This window comes from Homo sapiens, chromosome 19 (assembly GCF_000001405.40).
Source record: "Homo sapiens chromosome 19, GRCh38.p14 Primary Assembly".
Lineage (NCBI taxonomy): Eukaryota > Metazoa > Chordata > Mammalia > Primates > Hominidae > Homo > Homo sapiens.
Genome location: NC_000019.10, coordinates 33,999,621 through 34,016,505, shown reverse-complemented (window position 1 = coordinate 34,016,505; position 16,885 = coordinate 33,999,621). Strand labels below are relative to the sequence as shown.

The following is a 16,885-nucleotide window of genomic DNA, read 5'->3' as shown; positions in this document are numbered from 1 at the left end:
TTGCAAATGTTCTATAGGTAAAGGTTTGTTATTATTATTGGGGTCATAGAGGCAGGATTTTAAAATGAATTGAGGGCGGGCTGGAATCTTGCTAATGTTGAAAAGAAGGAAGCCTTCATGAATGGGATTTGCACAGATGGAAGGATTTGGAGGGCAGTGTGGTGTACATTAGGTAAGTTCTCGGGTCAAGATTTGGATTCTTGTATCTGCAAAGTCATTCTTCATTTGCTTTCCAGTTTCTAAAAATGTGTTGTTATTTTTTTCTCTTCTTGAGGTTTATGGTGATATTTCTTTATTTTTTTGAGAAAATAACTTTACTATAATTTTAGTGAGGTTTAGGAAGAAAGTGAAGGTAAATACATAGGTACATACATACATACATAGGTAGATACATAAAACTATCTTTTTAAGAGGATTTTTTTTTTTTTGAGAGAGCGTCTTGCTCTATCGCCCAGGCTGGAATGCAGTGGTGCGATCTCGGCTCATTGCATCCTCTGTCTCCTGGGCTCAGGCAATCCTCCCACCTCAACCTCCTGAGTAGCTAGGACAACAGGAGTGCAACACCATACCTGGCTAATTTTTGTATTTTTTGTAGAGACAGGGTTTTGCCATGTTGCCCAGGCTGGTCTCGAACTCCTGGTCTCAAGCGATCCTCCTGCCTTGGACTCCCAAAATGCTAGGATTGCAGGTGTGAACTACCATGCCTGGCAAGAGGAGATGTTATTTTTTAAGAGAATTAACTTCATTTGTTTCTTCCAGCTTGTTGAGGTATAATTGATAAATAAAAATTGTATATATTTACAGTATACAACATGATATTTTGCTATATATAAATAAGTATATATACACACATTGAGAAATGATTAACACAATTAGCTAATTAACATATTCATTCTTCACTTAGTTATCATGCAATTTTTTTTGTGGTGAAAACATTGAAGATCTATGCTCTTAATGATTTTCAAGTATACAATCCATTACTGTTAACTATAGTCACCATTTTTGCATTAACTCTCCAGGGGTTATTCGTCCTGTCTAGCTGAAACTTTGTACTCTTTGACTGACATGTCCTCATCCCCCTGCCCCACCCCACCCCGGGAACCACCATTCTATCCTCTGCTTTTATGAGTTCCACATGTATAAGTGGGATCATGTAGTGTTTGCCTTTCTGTGCCTGGCTTATTTCACTTGGCATAATGTCCTCCAGGTTATCCACAATGTTGCAAATGGCATGATTTTTTTCCTTTTAAAGGCTGAATAGAATTTCATTGTATGTATACACACACACACACACACACACACACCCGCATTTTCTTTATCCATTTATCTTTTGAGGGACACTTAGATTGATTCCATATCTCGGCTTTTGTGAATAATGCTGCAGTAAACATGGCAGTGTGTGATATCTCTTTGACATACGGATTTCATTTCCTTTGGATATATACCCAGTAGTAGGATAGCTGGATCATACAACAACTCTTATTTTAAGTTTTTGAGGACTGTCCATCCTGTTTTCCGTCATGTCTGTACTAATTTACATTCCTACCAACAGTGTGCAAGAGTTTCCTTTCTCCACGTCCTCACCAACACTCATTATCTTTTGTCTTTTGATAGCAGCCATTCTAGCAGATGTTAAGGTGATATCTCGTTGTGCTTTTAATTTGCACTTCCCTGACGATTAGTTGTGTTGAGCATTTTTCATACACTTGTTGGCCATTGTATGTCTTCTTCTGAGAAATATCTATTCAGATCCTTTGCCCATTTTTTAATCAGGTTATTTGTTTTATTGCTTTTGAGTTATTTGAGTTCCTTATATAGCGTGGATATCAACTCCTTATCAGATGTGTGGTTTGCAAATATTTTCTCCTCATTTGTAGGATGTTGCTTCACTCTTTGACTATTTCCTCTTCTGTGCAGAAGTGTTTAGTTTGATGTCATCTTGTTTGTCTATTTTTTGCTTTTGTTGCCTTTGTTTTGGGGATCATATCCAGGAAATCATTGCCCACACCAACGTCAAGGATATTTCTCCCTATGTTTCTTCTAGTAGTGTTACAGTTTCAGGTCTATGTTTAAATCTTTAGTCCATTTTGAGTTGATTTTTGTAATTGTGTGAGATGAGGGTTCAGTTTTATTCTTCTGCATGTAGATATTCAGTTTTCTAGCACCATTTGTTGAAGAGACTGCCCTTTCTCCATTATGTGTTCTTGGTATCTTTGTCAAAAATCCATTGACCATAAATGTGTAAGTTTACTTCTGGGCTCTCTATTCTGTTCCTCTGTGTCTGTGTGTCTGTTTTTATGCCACTACCATGCTGTTTTAATTACTGTAGCTTTGTAGTATATTTTGAAGTCAGGTAGTGTTCTTGCTCTAGCTCTGTTCTTTTTACCTCAAGATTGCTTTGTCTATTTGGGGTCTTTTGCAGTTCTATATGAATTTTAATATTTTTTTCTCTTTGAAAATTGCCAGTGGAATTTTGATAGGAATTGCACTGAATCTGTAGACAGCTTTGGTATTATGGACATTGTAACAATATTAATTGTTCCAATTATTGAACATAGGATATCTTTTCACTTGCTTGTTTCCTCTTCAATTTCTTTAATCAATGTTTTATCATTTTCAGTGTACAGATGTTTCACCTCCCTGGTTAAACTTATTCTTAAGAATCTTATGTTTTTTGGCCGGGCACAGTGGCTCACGCTTGTAATCCTAGCACTTTGGGAGACTGCGGCAGTGGATCACCTGAGGTCAGGAGTTTGACACCAGCCTGGCCAACATGGTGAAACCCCGTCTCTACTAAAAATATAAAAATTAGCTGGGCATGGTGGCTCATGCCTGTAATCCCAGCTACTCAGGAGGCTGAGGCAGGAGAATTGCTTGAACTCGGGAGGCAGAGGTTTTGGTGAGCCGAGATTGTGCCACTGTACTCCAGCCTGGACGACAGAGCAAGACTCCATCTCAAAAAAAAAAAAAAAAAAAAAGAATCTTATGTTTTTATTGCTATTATAAATGGGATCATTTCTTGATTTCTTTTTGGATAGTTTGATGTTAGTGTATATAAATACTACTGATTGTTCTGTGTTTATTTTGTATCCCACAACCTCACTGAATTCATTTATTAGCCCTAAACATGTTTTGGTGGAGTCTTTAGAATTTTCTGTATGCAACCTCTTCAAACAGAGCCAGTTTTTCTTCTTCCTTTCTTATTTGAATGCCTTTATTAAATTGAATTGGCATCATTGTCTTATTCCAGATCTTAGAAGAAAACCTTTTAGCTTTTCGCCATCGAGTATGTTGTTAGCTGTGGGCTTGGCACATATGGCTTTTATCATGTTGAGGTATATTCCTTCTTCACCTAATCTGTTAAGAGTTTTTAATTATGAAGTGATGTTGAATTTTGCCAGATGCTTTTTCTGCATCTTTTGAGATAATCATGTGATTTCATCCTTTATTCTGTTAATGTGTATATTACATTTATTGATTTGCATATATTCTTCTACTTGACCAAGTCTGCTGTTGAAACTCTATATGAAATTTTTCAGTTCAGTCATGTGTTCTTTAGGCCCAGAATTTCTTACTGGTTCTTTTCTATGGCTTCTATTCTATTTGTTAAGCTTCTAAGTCTGTTTTTCTGATTTCGTTTAGTTATCTATCTGTATTATCTGCAGCTTACTGAGTTTCTTTAAGTGATTATTTTGAATTGTTTATCAGGCAGTTCATAGATCTCCATTTTTAAAGGATTGGTTACTGGTGCTTTATGTTGTTCCTTTGGTGGTGTTATGTTTCCCTGATTACTCATGCTCCTTGTGGCCTTGTGTTGGTGTCTGTGCATTTGAAGAAGTAGGCACCTCTTTCAGTCTTTATAGATTGGCACATCCAGAGAATGGAATATTATTCAGCACTAAAAAGAAATGAGCTACCAAGCCATGAATAGACCTGGAGGAAGCTTAAATGCATATTACTAAGTAAAATAAGCCAATCTGAAAAGGCTACATACTACATGATTCCAACTACATGACATTTTGAAAAGGGCAAAACTATGGAGACAGTAAACAAGTCAGTGGTTTCCAGGGGTTAGTAAGGACAGAAAGATGAATAGGCAGAGCACAGAGGATTTTTAGGGCAATGGAACTATTTAGTATAATACTACAATTGTGGATGTATGTCATTACACATTTGCCCAAATTTATAGAATGTACAAGATCAACAATGAACCCTAATGTAAACTATGGACTCCAGGCAACAATACTGTTTCAATGTGGGTTCGTCAGTTATAGCAAATGTACCACACTGGTAGGAGATGTTGACAATAGAGGAGGCTGTGTGTGTGTGGGGGTAGAGGGTATATAGGAAATCTCTGTACCTTCCTCTCAATTTTGCTATGAATGTAGAACTGTTCTAGAAAATAAAGTTTATTAAACATTATGTAATTTTGCTTGAATGTAATGTTCAAAATATAACAAAATGAAATGGTAGAAATTGTTGAACTTCAGGTAAATGTTTCTTGATTACAAGAGATAGTAGTTTAATTAGATTCCTCTAATCTAAGAAAAAGATGGTGGCCCAATTTCCTTTTTCCAAACACCAAATTGTATTTTCCTGTGTGGGAAAAGGATTTTGTCTCACTTAGATTCACTCAGCAGTTCTACACTCAAAATCTAGAGGAAGTGAAAAGAAGGATTGGTTATTTCCATTTCTGACAATATGATAGACTAGATATCCCAAAACCTTTTTGTCACAAAGTGGCTATCTAAGGTTGCCTGGTAATTTCCCACCACCTGGAGTCTTGAGTTTTACCTGCGGGGTGCAAGGGCCTTGGCCTGTGAAAGTTGAAAGGTTTGAACAGTGTTGATCTAGAGACACATCTGTGCAGTTAAAAGAGATGATCCAGTAAGGAAATGTGGTTTTTTCAGCTTGGACCCTGGGCAGAATTAGAAAAAGAAACTTCCCCTGATAATTTAGAATTCAGACCAGCCTTCATAAGGTGTGACATTCTAATTTATGGCACTGGCACAGTACATAACCCTCAAGCCAAGAAATTAATGTAAAGTGGTCCTGGATTGGGAATATCTTCAGGTACCTAAAAGAAGCAAATGCAGATCTTCTCTGGAGGAATGCACTCCCAAGCCAGGCCTCATGAAATCCCCACAGAAAAGTCCTGATGAACATAAGCTGATATTGAAAAATCAAGAAAAACACAAGCAAACATGCCATTGCAAATGAAAATTAGCAGAAACAACAAAGAGTAGAAATTAGTTCCCTAAAGACTTCAGATACTATAAATTTTAAGACATAGAATATAAAATAAATGTGCTTTCATGTTGAAAGAAATAAAAAAAGAAAACAGAATTGTAAACTAAGAAAAAAAATCAGGTAGTTTTGAAAAATATTCAAATAGAACTTCTAAAAATGAAAAAAAAAACACATTGAAATAAGAACCTTATGGTTAAACAGCGGATTAGACATAGCTGAAGAGAGAACTAGCAAACAGGAAAGCAGAGCTCAGCTATCCAGAATCCAGTATAGAGAAACAAGGAGATAGGAAATATGAAGCACAGGCTAAAAGACATAAAGGATAGGGTAAGAATGCCTAATATACATTTCATTGGAATTCTAGAAAAAGAGAATAAATAGAATGAAAAAGAAGCAGTATCCAAAAGAAAAATGGCAGAGCTATATACTAGAATTTTCTAGAACTCATGAAAAAAAATGAAACTTCACATTCAGGAATCATAATGAATCCCAAGTAGGATAGAGAACAGGACAAAACAAAATAAAACTCCACTTGAGATCCTTCATGATGAAATAACAGATAATTCAATATGAAGAGATCTGTAAAACCTTAAAAATATCCAGGGAGTAAAGGCAGATTGCATAAAAACAACAGAATTTAGACGGACAGCTGACTTCTCAATAGCAATAATGGAAGCCAATGGTGCTATTAAGAAGTCCAATACCATTTGGCTTTTTCTGTCTATGTGACCTGTTTTTCTTAGAATTTTCTTTTAATCCTTGGAGTTCTGAAATTTTATAGAGATGAACCTTGGAGTAAGTATTGTTTCATTAATTGTGCTGGTTTCTCAGGGAGACATTTTGGCTTGGCAACTCATCATTGTCTTTAGTTTTGGAATTTGTTCTTGCATTGTTTTTTTGATAGTTTCCAACCCTAGTTGATCTAATTCTTTTAAAATTTCTCTCCTATTTTCTTTCTTTTAATTTCTTTCCTCCCTTCCTTCATTTTTCTGTAAGTATATCAAACTTCTTTGATTTGAACTTCCAGATTTTGGGACAGATTGAATTTTTTATTTTAATCATTATATTTTAAATTTCCAATAGTTCGGTTTTTGCTTCATGTATTTTGAAGCTCTATTGTTAGTTCCATACATATTTTGGATCGCTATATTTTCTTGGTAAATTGATCCTTTAATCATTAAGTAATGTCTTTCTGGGCAGGTGTTGCAGTGAGCCAAGATTGGACCACTGCACTCCAGCCTAGGTGACACAGAGAAATTGTTTCAAAAAAAAAAAAAAAAAAGTAATGCCTTTCTGTTTTTTGGACCAACTTTTTGGCCTAATATCTACTTTGTCTAATTTTGATATAGTTACTTGAGCTTTCTTTTGTAGTATTACCATGGTATATTGTTTTCCATCCTTTTACTTTTACCTATGCTATTATATTTAAAGTAAGTTTCTTGTAAACAGCATATAGTTAGACCACTCTTATCTATTCTGCGATATCTGTCTTTTAATTGGTGTATCTAAACTGTTTACATTTAATCAATTATAAATATATGTTAACTGGCCCACCATTTAATTTTTTTTCGGTTCATTCCCTCTGTTTTTATTTCCTCTGTTTACCTATTCCTGCTTTCTTTTGGGCTTTTGAAACATTTGTAAATTTTTTATTTGAACATTTTATTAAATTATAGTTTCACATGAAGATGTAACAAATAATTCAAAGACATCTCTTGTACAGTTTTCTCAGTTTTCCTCAGTGATAACAGTTTGGAAAACTATAATATAACATCACAGCCAGGAATTCAACATTGGTACAATCCACTAATCTTATTCAGATTTTCCCAGTTTTACTTGTGTTTATTTGTGTGCATTCAGTTCTATACAATTTAATCACCTGTATATGTTTGTGTTCCCATCACCCTCTCAAGATTCTGAACAGTTCCAATACTACAAAGAACCTGAGAAGCTCTTGTGTTTTCTTTTTAAAACCATACCAACCTTCTTCTGGCTTCCCCATTCTGAACTGCTGGCAACCATTAATCTTTCATTCCTTTCCTAAAATTTTCTCATTTCAAAAATGTTGGCCAGGTATGGTAGCTTACACCTGTAATCTCAGCATTTTAGGAGGCCAAGGCAAGAGCATCCCTTGAGGCCAGGAGTTCAAGACCAGCCTGGGCAACATAGAGAGACCATGTCTCTACTAGGCATGATGGTGTGCACCTCTAGTCTCAACTACTTGGGAGGCTGAGGCTGGAGGATCACTTGAGCCCAGGAGTACAAGGTTGCAGTGAGCTATGATCATGCCACTGCACTTTAGCCTGGGTGACAGAGTGAAACCCTGTCTCTAAAATAAGTAAAGAAATAAATAAATGAAAAACGAAACAAACAAAAATGTTATATAAGTGAAATAATATATTTTGTAATCTTTTGGGATAGGCTTTTTGCACTCAGCATAATTTCTCAAGATTCATTTAAGTTGTGTGTATCAGTAGTTTGTTTCTTTTTATTGCTGGGTAATATTTTATGGTATATATGGACCACAGATTGCTTACCCCTTGAACTGGTTTAAACGTGTCCCCCAAAGTTCACATGTTGGAAACTCGATCTCCAATGTGGTGTTGTTGGGAGGTGAGGCCTAATGAAAGATGTTTCAGTCATGGGGACACCACCCTCATGAATGCATTAATGCTTTTATCGAGGGAGTGGGTTTCTCATAAAAGTACAAGTTTTGCTCCCTCTTCCTCTCTTTCTCTCTCTCTCTTTGCCCTTCGGCCATGAGATGATGCAGCAAAAAGGCCTTCACCAGATCGCCAGATGCTGGCCCCTTGATCTTGGACTTCTCAGTCTCCAGAATTGTGAGAAACATTTCTGTTTGTTATAAATTACCTGATCTCAAGTCTTCCGTAATAGTAGTACAAAATGGACTAAGATATCCATTCACCTATTTAAGAACATCTAGGCTGATTCCAGTTTTTGGCTATTAAAAATAAAATTGCTACAAATATTGGTGTAATATCTAAAGGTTTTAAATATTCCATTTTAATGTATCTATTTTGTTTTTGATATCTATTTCTTAGTATGGTTTCATTGCTCCAGGGATAACAATAAACATGCTTAACTTTTCTGTCTATTTAGAATCAATATTTTACTATGCCAGAAGCAATGTAGAAGAAAACTAACCACCACATAGGTCCTACTATTACTTTCCTTGCCCCCGCCCTTTACGTTATAGTTATTTTTAAATATCAAACCTCTACCTACCTAGTTGGATTCAGGCTGCATGTTCTAACCAGATGTAAAGGTTGTAGGTCAATGTGAATTGGATTTTCAAAGTCTTTGCAGTGCTATCAGATCTGTCCCAGATGTGCTCCACCAATGGTCAGTCTGGGATCTGGGCTATGCTTTATTCTGTTGTTCAGTTCACGACGTCTATGGTGAGTGGTTTGGGATTAGATCCATGCATGTGCAGCTCGGAAGCTTGCCCAGGAGTTCATAAATGACTTTATGGGGTGGTCTTCTCCAACTCGTATTTCTTCACCATCTCTCAGGTACTTTTATGTTCTCTGGGTGCTCCATTTTCAGTTCTCAGGTCAGAAAGCGGAGGCTTTATTTATCATGCTCTGCCATGCACTTCCCATGGCCAAGAGTTGGGAGAGGAGAGAGAAAGAGAGACAGAGGGGAAGACAGAAGGAGAGAAGGAAGGAAGAGCAAGTAGACACAAGATTTGTCCCTTCCTGTTGGGGGACATCCCCTGATTAGAGAGGAAATTTCCTCTCCCTCAGAATTTTAGGCACCTGTGGGTAGCTCTGGGCTGAGGTGTGAGGGAATGAATGACAAAAATTTGATGATGGGGTGTGGGTAATATTTCTACTTAACTCGGAGTGTTGGCAGATGCCTTTCCTGCTCCTCAAGCCAGAATGAGCGGGTGTGTCCTGAAGCTCTCTGTCTGCTCCATGTCCATTCCAGGCTCCAGCTGTGTCTCATCCAGGCTGGGGGATACTGGAGGGGAAAAAAAAAAGGTTTGGTGATACTTCAAATTATGTTATTTTTCTTTAATTTATCATGTTCCCTTTGGAATCCTCAAAGAACTAATCCATGCATGCTGTGTATGTTTTATAGCTCCGTTCAGTGGGAGAGATAGGCTAGAGTGTTCTTTCTCCATCTCAGCAGTAGAACTGGAACTCCTTCATCCACTTTTTTTTCTTTCTCTCTCTCTCTCTTTTTTTTTTTTTTTTAAAGATAGGATCTTCCTCTGTCACCCAGGCTAGAGTACAGTGGTGTGATCATAGTTCATTGCAGTCTCCAACTCCTGGGCTCAAGCCTGGGAGGCTCACCCTAATTGTAGTTCAGCCTAATTGTAGATTTTCCTTCTGCATCTACTTCTACCATGTTTCCATCCTCCAGCCTCAGCCTCCTGAGTAGCTGGGACTACAGGCACATGCCACCCCACCCAACTAATTTCTAAAGAGATGGGGTCTTGTTAGTTGCCCAGGCTGGTCTTAAACGCTGGGACTCAAGAGGTCCTTGGCCTCGAAAGCACTGGGATTACAGGCATGAACCACCACATCCGGCCCACACTTGACACATCTATCTACATGTGTATGTATTTCTTTTCAGTTCTCTTCATCTTCATGAAATTACACGTTTGTTTAGAGTTCCTTACAATTTTAGCATGGTTTTAAGAGGGAGAGAGAGAGGGGAGGTGACCACATGGTCACTCCTCCAGTTTTCCTTCACGAAGTCTAATAAAATTGTGTCTTAAGATAATTTTGACTATTTTTCTTGGTTATTATGATGGTTGAGTTTTTAGTATCACTTCAAGCTTTAAGGCTTTTTGTTTGTTTTTTTTAATAAACAAGGGTATCTATTTTTAAAAGTGGAAGAAGTTTAGAGGAATAATTTGAAATCTGGTATTTTGTTTTTCCAGCCTGATTAGAAATAGAGCATTTTTCCAATTTTAGAATGAATGAATATTTACATAATATGTAAGTGATAGAAATGTAAGATAATATATAATGAATATATGTAATATATTATACATATATATATCTTTAGACATATATAGAGAGAATCTGAATATCTTCTTTACCAGTTTACATAAACCCCAAGTATTCATGCTTTAATAATAATAAACTGGTAAAAAAGACATCCAGATTGTTTTCCTCCCTTTATGTTAACCAAATCAAAAGTATTTTAATTTGTTTCTACTATGATAGTGGAAACGCTTTACCTCTGTATATTGTTCTATATTGCCTCAATGTTACTTCTTTAATTATATGATAATTGTAGGTTTTCCTTCTTATGTATCAATATCTACCATGTTTCCCTTTAATAATAATAATAATTATTATTATTATTATTTTGAGACAGAGTCTTGCTCTGTCACACAGACTGAAGTGTAGTGGCACGGTCTCGGCTCACTACAACCTCTGCCTCCCGGGTTCAAGCGATTTTGGTGCCTCAACCTCCTGAGTAGCTGGGACTGCAGGCGCCTGCCACCACATCTGGATAATTTTTGTATTTTTAGTAGAGACAGGGTTTTACCATATTGGCCAGGCTGGTCTCAAACTCCTGACCTGAAGTAATGTGCCTGCCTCAGCCTCCCAAAATGCTGGGAATACAGACGTGAGCTGCTACACCCAGTCTTTAATTATAATTATTTTTATTTCACTTGCTTTGAGGTTTTCGCTGCCTCTCATGATTAGTTATCTAATATCATTTTGCAAAGCATCTAGAAGGATGGAATCTTTGCTGTATTAAAATATCTCGTGTAGTTTTTTGACTTGCCATCAGCTGAAAATAGTTGGGTTTTAAATATTTTCATCTTTCCTTGTTCCTTTTGTTTTAAGATTGTCATAAGCATAGACCTTTAGCTTGATGCCTTCATGAGATAAAGGGGAAACTGGAGCTTGGAACTTGATTTCATCCACAGGTACACTGCTTTAAACGTTCACTTTTTATTAACAAAGCTAATGTGAAAGCAAAGTGTTTTCTGTTGCCAATTTAACTTCTTTAATTAAAAATAAAAGTTATAAGGTAGTAGTGCCATGGGTGAAGTTCTAATATCATCAGAATGGGGAAAATGTGTTTGAAATTAAAACTGTTGGCATGGTGGTGACTCTACAGTATAGTATCAGAAGTTTTGACACTTTATTTAATGGAAAATGGATACCAGCGCCTTAAACTCATCTAGTATTGCCTTTTAAAAAATTATAAAACTATAAGAGGCATGACTATGAGAAAAGCACTGATGAAAGCTGAGGGCGCCCTGGGAAGATGGGAGTTTGAAAGATTAAAGCATGAGTCCTGAGTTTTAAACTCTAAAAGAATGTTTGTTCTTGTTCTTAAACGAGGTCAGGCAAAGTAGCATTCCTCTTACTTTCACCAACTGCACACAGGTGGCAAGTGTCTGAAACTAACAATCACGCTAGAATGTGCTGAGCCCTATTATAACAAAATTCCAGAGAGAACCCCTGACTCTCTTTGTGCCAGTGGGATGGCTTTAGGAGTTAATTCTTTTTCTGCCTAAAAAGCAAAGTACTCAGGAAAAGTGGGTTTTTTTGGAGAGTCTTAAGAATCCCCCCGATTTCCAATTATATCAGAAATGATCTTTTCAAATGTAGTTCCCCATTCATGAAGATCTCTACCTATACTTACTGGAATTAGTGTATCTGTCATACTTGTGCAGTCTCGATAGTAGAATTTCTAACATTTTGCACAATTATGTTCTTTTCCCCCAGAAGAAGTCAAATGCCATACCAGACATATCATTTTACAAAATATTAATAGATTTTTTTCCAATATCAATATTATACACAGAGGTATTTCAGGCATACAAAAACATGACATCTACAAAGACTTTAACATAAAAATGTCCTTGGCTCGGGACTCACGGTAAAAGTGTAATAGCAAAACTAAATTAATTTCACGGTAATTTATCATCCCTAAAATTTAAAGTGGGAGGAGGTGAAGGGTCTTTCCATCGTGTGCCTTCTCCATGTCTTCCAACAAAATGAAAGGCTAAGATTTAGTAAAAGTAAACTAAAATGTGGCCTATCTGTGTAAACTTGGCATTCATTTGCTTTTTTCCCCCTAAGCCCACAGGTCGGTCCTTCTTGACATATTTGGCCAAGCTTACAGACGTTGAGCTCCAACAGCACTGACACTTTCAGAAGATTGGGTTTTTAGATTAAGCAACTGTGGCTGACAGTGAGGACCTTTCCAAAGCACCAGCCACCAGCTGGCATGGCTGCCCAGGGCAAGCGGGACCTTCCATAACCCGCTGGCCTGCAGTGCCCAGAAAGCTGGAGGCGCCCCATTCCCTCCCAAATCAGTCCCCTTTGCTCAGTCTGCCATGTGACAAGGAAGGGGCTGTGGGGCCCCATCTGTCCCAGCCATCACAGAACAGAGTAGGACTGCAGAGAAACAGGAAACAGATTGCAACCCTTGCATGGGTTTCTGACTTCGTATCAGCCCGTCCAAGATTCCCCTCATATTGCATTATATTATTTCATAGACTGACGTGCCAGGAAATTTTTCCTCTTTCTTTACCCCACCTTCCAGGAACGGCTGGAAAATCATCTTCAATCATTTCACCTGGAAGTCTCCCAAGAGGACATGAGTATCCTGTTAAGACATCCTTTTATGTTTTCAGTAGCTTTGCAGTTTTGTCTTTGGTATGTTTTTGCAGTATTGTGCTTTTCCTTCATTTTTTCCCCTGTGATTCATTAGTCTTTCTCCTGTTGTAGAGGGTTATAATTATATCCAAATTAATAGTCAAGAAAGCATTCACATTTAGGATAGCAGTTTTTCTACAGGAAATTAGGTTAGCTGCTTTCTTTCCCAGCAAAACCTCATTTTGTTGGGTTTTTAATTTTTTTCCCCGATTTCTGAAATAGCTTTATTGTTTTCATCTGTTTATATATTGAAATACATACTGTTTGGAACATCTTATGAAAATTCTGAAACATGGAAAGAGGTTAAGAAAGACTACCCATAACTTCACTTCACGGAGACAATTTCTTTTCTCATTTGAGCTAAATCATTCCGGTCCTCTTTAGGTAGCCAGAAATACAACTATCTATATGTGTGTAGATAGTTACACTCTCTTTTTAGAATACTCGGAGCTATACCCTCTTCTTAGAATAAATACTCAGAACTCCCTCAACCAATACCATCCTAACTTAGCCCAACTTTAACTTAAGGACCACAAACCACAAGTGGGCCTGTAGCACGGCTCAGCAACACAAATCCATCTCTCCAGTTGGCTCACTCTGCCACTCTCCAAAACTGGTGTTTCATGCCTTCTCCTTCAATCATCAACACCCTTTCCCTTCCTCATGTTTCAGTAGATGACCTTGTCTGTTTCACTGAGAAACAAGAAGCAGTAAAATGAGAACTGTCTCATCATCCAGCCATGAAATCAAAAACACCAGCCTCCCCGCCTCTGTTCCCACCCTGGCTCTCCTGGGGCTGTAAGCAGCCCCTACTCACACACTGCGCCCCATCTCTCCTCCCGCTCAGTGGCTCATCTCTTCATTCTCCCACTCATTGCTTTTTCTCTCAACTCCTTGCTTCCCAGCAGCATAAAAGCATGTTATACTCTCTCTCTTATTAAAAGCACTTCTTGGCAGGGGCAGTGGTTCACACCTATAATCCCAGCACTTTGAGAGGACGAGGTGGGCGGATCACTTAAGATCAGGAGTTTGAGATCAGCCTGGCCAACATGGAGAAACCTTGTCTCTATTAAAAATACAAACATTAGTGGGGAGTGGTGGTGCATGCCTGTAATTCCAGCTACTCGGGAGGCCAAGGCAGGAGAATTGCTTGAACCTGGGAGGTAGAGGTGGCAGTGAGCTGAGATCATGCCACTGCACTCCAGCCTGGATGACAGGGTGAGACTCCATCTCAAAAAAAAAAAAGCACTTCTTGTATCATGTCTGCCCCGTCTATAACCACGTTTCCCTGCTCCCCTTTATGGCAAAATTTCTCAAGAGTTAGATAGACTTACCATTTCTACTCTGTATTGACTCTGTTTTCTCATTTTCTAGATTCTTCATGCTCAAGCATTTGCGGGCCTTGATCCTGGAGAGACTGCCCCTTCCAGCACTAGAGATAATTCCTAGAGATAGCCAAGGACTCCCCTGCAAGCATGCCTTTAACATACAAACCAACCAATCCAGAGCCCAACCCACAACCATCTCCTTTATCAAATTCTCACACACCAAGCCAATATTCCCCATGTACTAAGTCACCCCAGGGCCAGGTACAGGACAACCAGAGATCTTTCCTATAGCCCAGAAACAGCTGGAATTATTCAGACCATCCAATCCTAGGCATACTCAGTGTCTCTACCTTGACTCGCTCAGGACTGGAGACAGACACTGGTCCCGGGGATGGGAGCCACCCCCAGTCCAGTAGTAGGAAGCTTATTCTTCTGTACACAGTGAAGCTGTCTCCTCTTCCATCACAACTCCCTGCTGGGGTCAGTGTCCTCTTCCAGGTCCCTCTGATGATGGTGTCTGCCATTGTTCTCTCTTTAAGCAGAGTGTTTCAGCTTTAGTATGGTCATTCTTCATTTGTTCTGTTTACAATATATTGCTAATCAATATAGATTAGAAACAGGCAAAATTTTTCTTTTGGAATTTCAAGTCAAAATTTATTTATTTATTTTGAGATGGAGTCTTGCTCTGTCACCCAGGCTGGAGTGCAGTGGTGTGATCTCTGCCTCCCGGATTCAAGTGATTCTTCTGCCTCAGCCTCCTGAGTAGCTGGGACTATAGGCATGCACCATCATGCCTGGCTAATTTTTATATTTTTAGTAGAGATGGGGGTTTCACCATGTTGCCCAGGCTGGTCTCGAACTCCAGACCTCAAGTGATCCAGCTGCCTTGGCCTCCCAAAGTGCTGGGATTATAGGCTGAGCCACCACACCCAGCATTCACATAGTTCTTTAGGCCTTTCCTATATCAGCACATGCTAAACAGCATGGAAGGAGGATGTCCGGCCTTGTGTTGCTGGCTTATATCTGAGACAGATGTTGTGCAAATAACTGTTAGCAATTCAGGTTTGATTTCATTGTCGAAGTGATTTGGGGTCTAAAAGTTTGGCACCATGGGATATGTGAGAAGTGTGTGTTAGGCACATTTCTTTTTTCTTTTTTCTTTTTTTTTTTTTGGAGACGGAGTCTCGCTCTGTCGCCCAGGCTGGAGTGTAGTGGTACGATCATGGCTCACTGCAACCTCCGCCTCCCGGGTTCAAGCCATTCTCCTGCCTCAGCCCCCCGAGTAGCTCAGATTACAGGCATGTGCCACCATGCCTGGCTAATTTTTTTTGTATTTTTAGTAGAGATGGGGTTTCACCATGTTGGCCAGGCTGGTCTCGAACTCCTGGGCTCAAGTGATCCGCCCACCTCGGCCTCCCAAAGTGCTGGGACTACAGGAGTGAGTACCACATTTCTATCTCTGCTTTGTGGTGGCTGCTCCATCAGATTAGTTAGGCTTCTTGGAAATAAAAGATTTGGGTGCATGGAATTATATAGAGAGGCTAATGAGGGTAGAAGGACAATGTACAGCATTTTAAAGACTTAAAAAGGAAGAGAAACTGTATTTTAAACTTGAGTTAGCAATATTATAAGCAAATTGGTTTTTTTTTTTAAAGAAACCTACAGTAGATTTTATTTAAAACTGAATATTTAACGGTTTATTGGGTAAGCCCAAAGGCTTGAAATTACACGTCTATGAATTTAGGCCTTGCGTTTTTGACACCTTGGATCCTATTCTCCTTCCTTTGCTATTTTTTAACTTACTGCAACAGATGAGGGGCTCTTAAACCATCTGTTAACCTTTCTTTCTCCTTTTCTTAACCGTGTAGAGTTGCTCAAGGCAAGAAGACCCGGTGCCAGCAAGACTGAAACAAAAAAGCAAAAGAGGTGAGCATGGAAGAGATCATTGGGTTTGACATTTCAACGCTTGGGCCTATTAATTTTTTATGCCCTGCTACTTGTATATCGTTAATAAAAATCTGACGAAAAACTTTTTAGGATGTATTTGTTGCTTTGGCTTTGATCTTAATGTTTGCAAACTAATACATTAATACATGTGAAGCCTTAAGGAGTTTTTCTAAGAGAATATTTCCATACATTATATTTTCATTTCCATTTTAGGTAGCTGAGCCTCTGTGGGGTTGCAGATGGTAGTGGCATTCGATTTTGGTGGGAAATGTATCTCTTTGCCTGCCGTTAAATGTTACTTCTCAGACAAAACGAAACCTTGTCATCAGTCTTTTACCTAAATTCACTTCTGCAAGAGCCCCACACCTCTAAGGTGGTGTTGTCATTTCAAATTCTTCATTCTAAAAAGATACGTGAAACTCCATTCAGTTATTTGCGATAGTAAAACCAGTCCCAGATCATCTAATAGCAGGGATTGCTGTCTAATTATTAAAATTTCACTTGGATTAGGCTACAGAGATCAGCTCAACTGAACATCATTATTTTTTTTTTTACCCCTTTTTAGGTGTCTGTTCCCTAGTAGCAACATCTGTGACTGAGTTGTGACAAACTCAAAAGTTAAGCCAACACACACGTGTCATCTTTTTATTTATATGTTACCTCTCTGCTCCCAAATATAAGACACAGTGATGGCATGAA

At 38.4% G+C, this 16,885-nt stretch overlaps 1 long non-coding RNA gene across 1 annotated transcript, besides 1 other annotated feature; it reads left to right on the top strand.

The window, feature by feature from the left end:
• The first annotated feature begins 11,084 nt into the window (after nucleotides 1-11,084).
• LOC105372371 (uncharacterized) lies at nucleotides 11,085-16,268 on the top strand. Its single transcript, XR_935921.3, has 3 exons — nucleotides 11,085-11,167; nucleotides 12,799-12,911; nucleotides 16,108-16,268. It is a non-coding gene; the product is annotated as an uncharacterized LOC105372371 (long non-coding RNA).
• Nucleotides 12,497-12,998: an enhancer, noted in NCBI's record as "H3K4me1 hESC enhancer chr19:34494413-34494914 (GRCh37/hg19 assembly coordinates)". NCBI's record gives its function as "activates a minimal SCP1, AML or CMV promoter by ChIP-STARR-seq in primed H9 embryonic stem cells {active_cell/tissue: H9 hESC(primed)}" and the evidence as "EXISTENCE:reporter gene assay evidence [ECO:0000049][PMID:30033119]".
• Nucleotides 16,269-16,885: the final 617 nt, after the last annotated feature.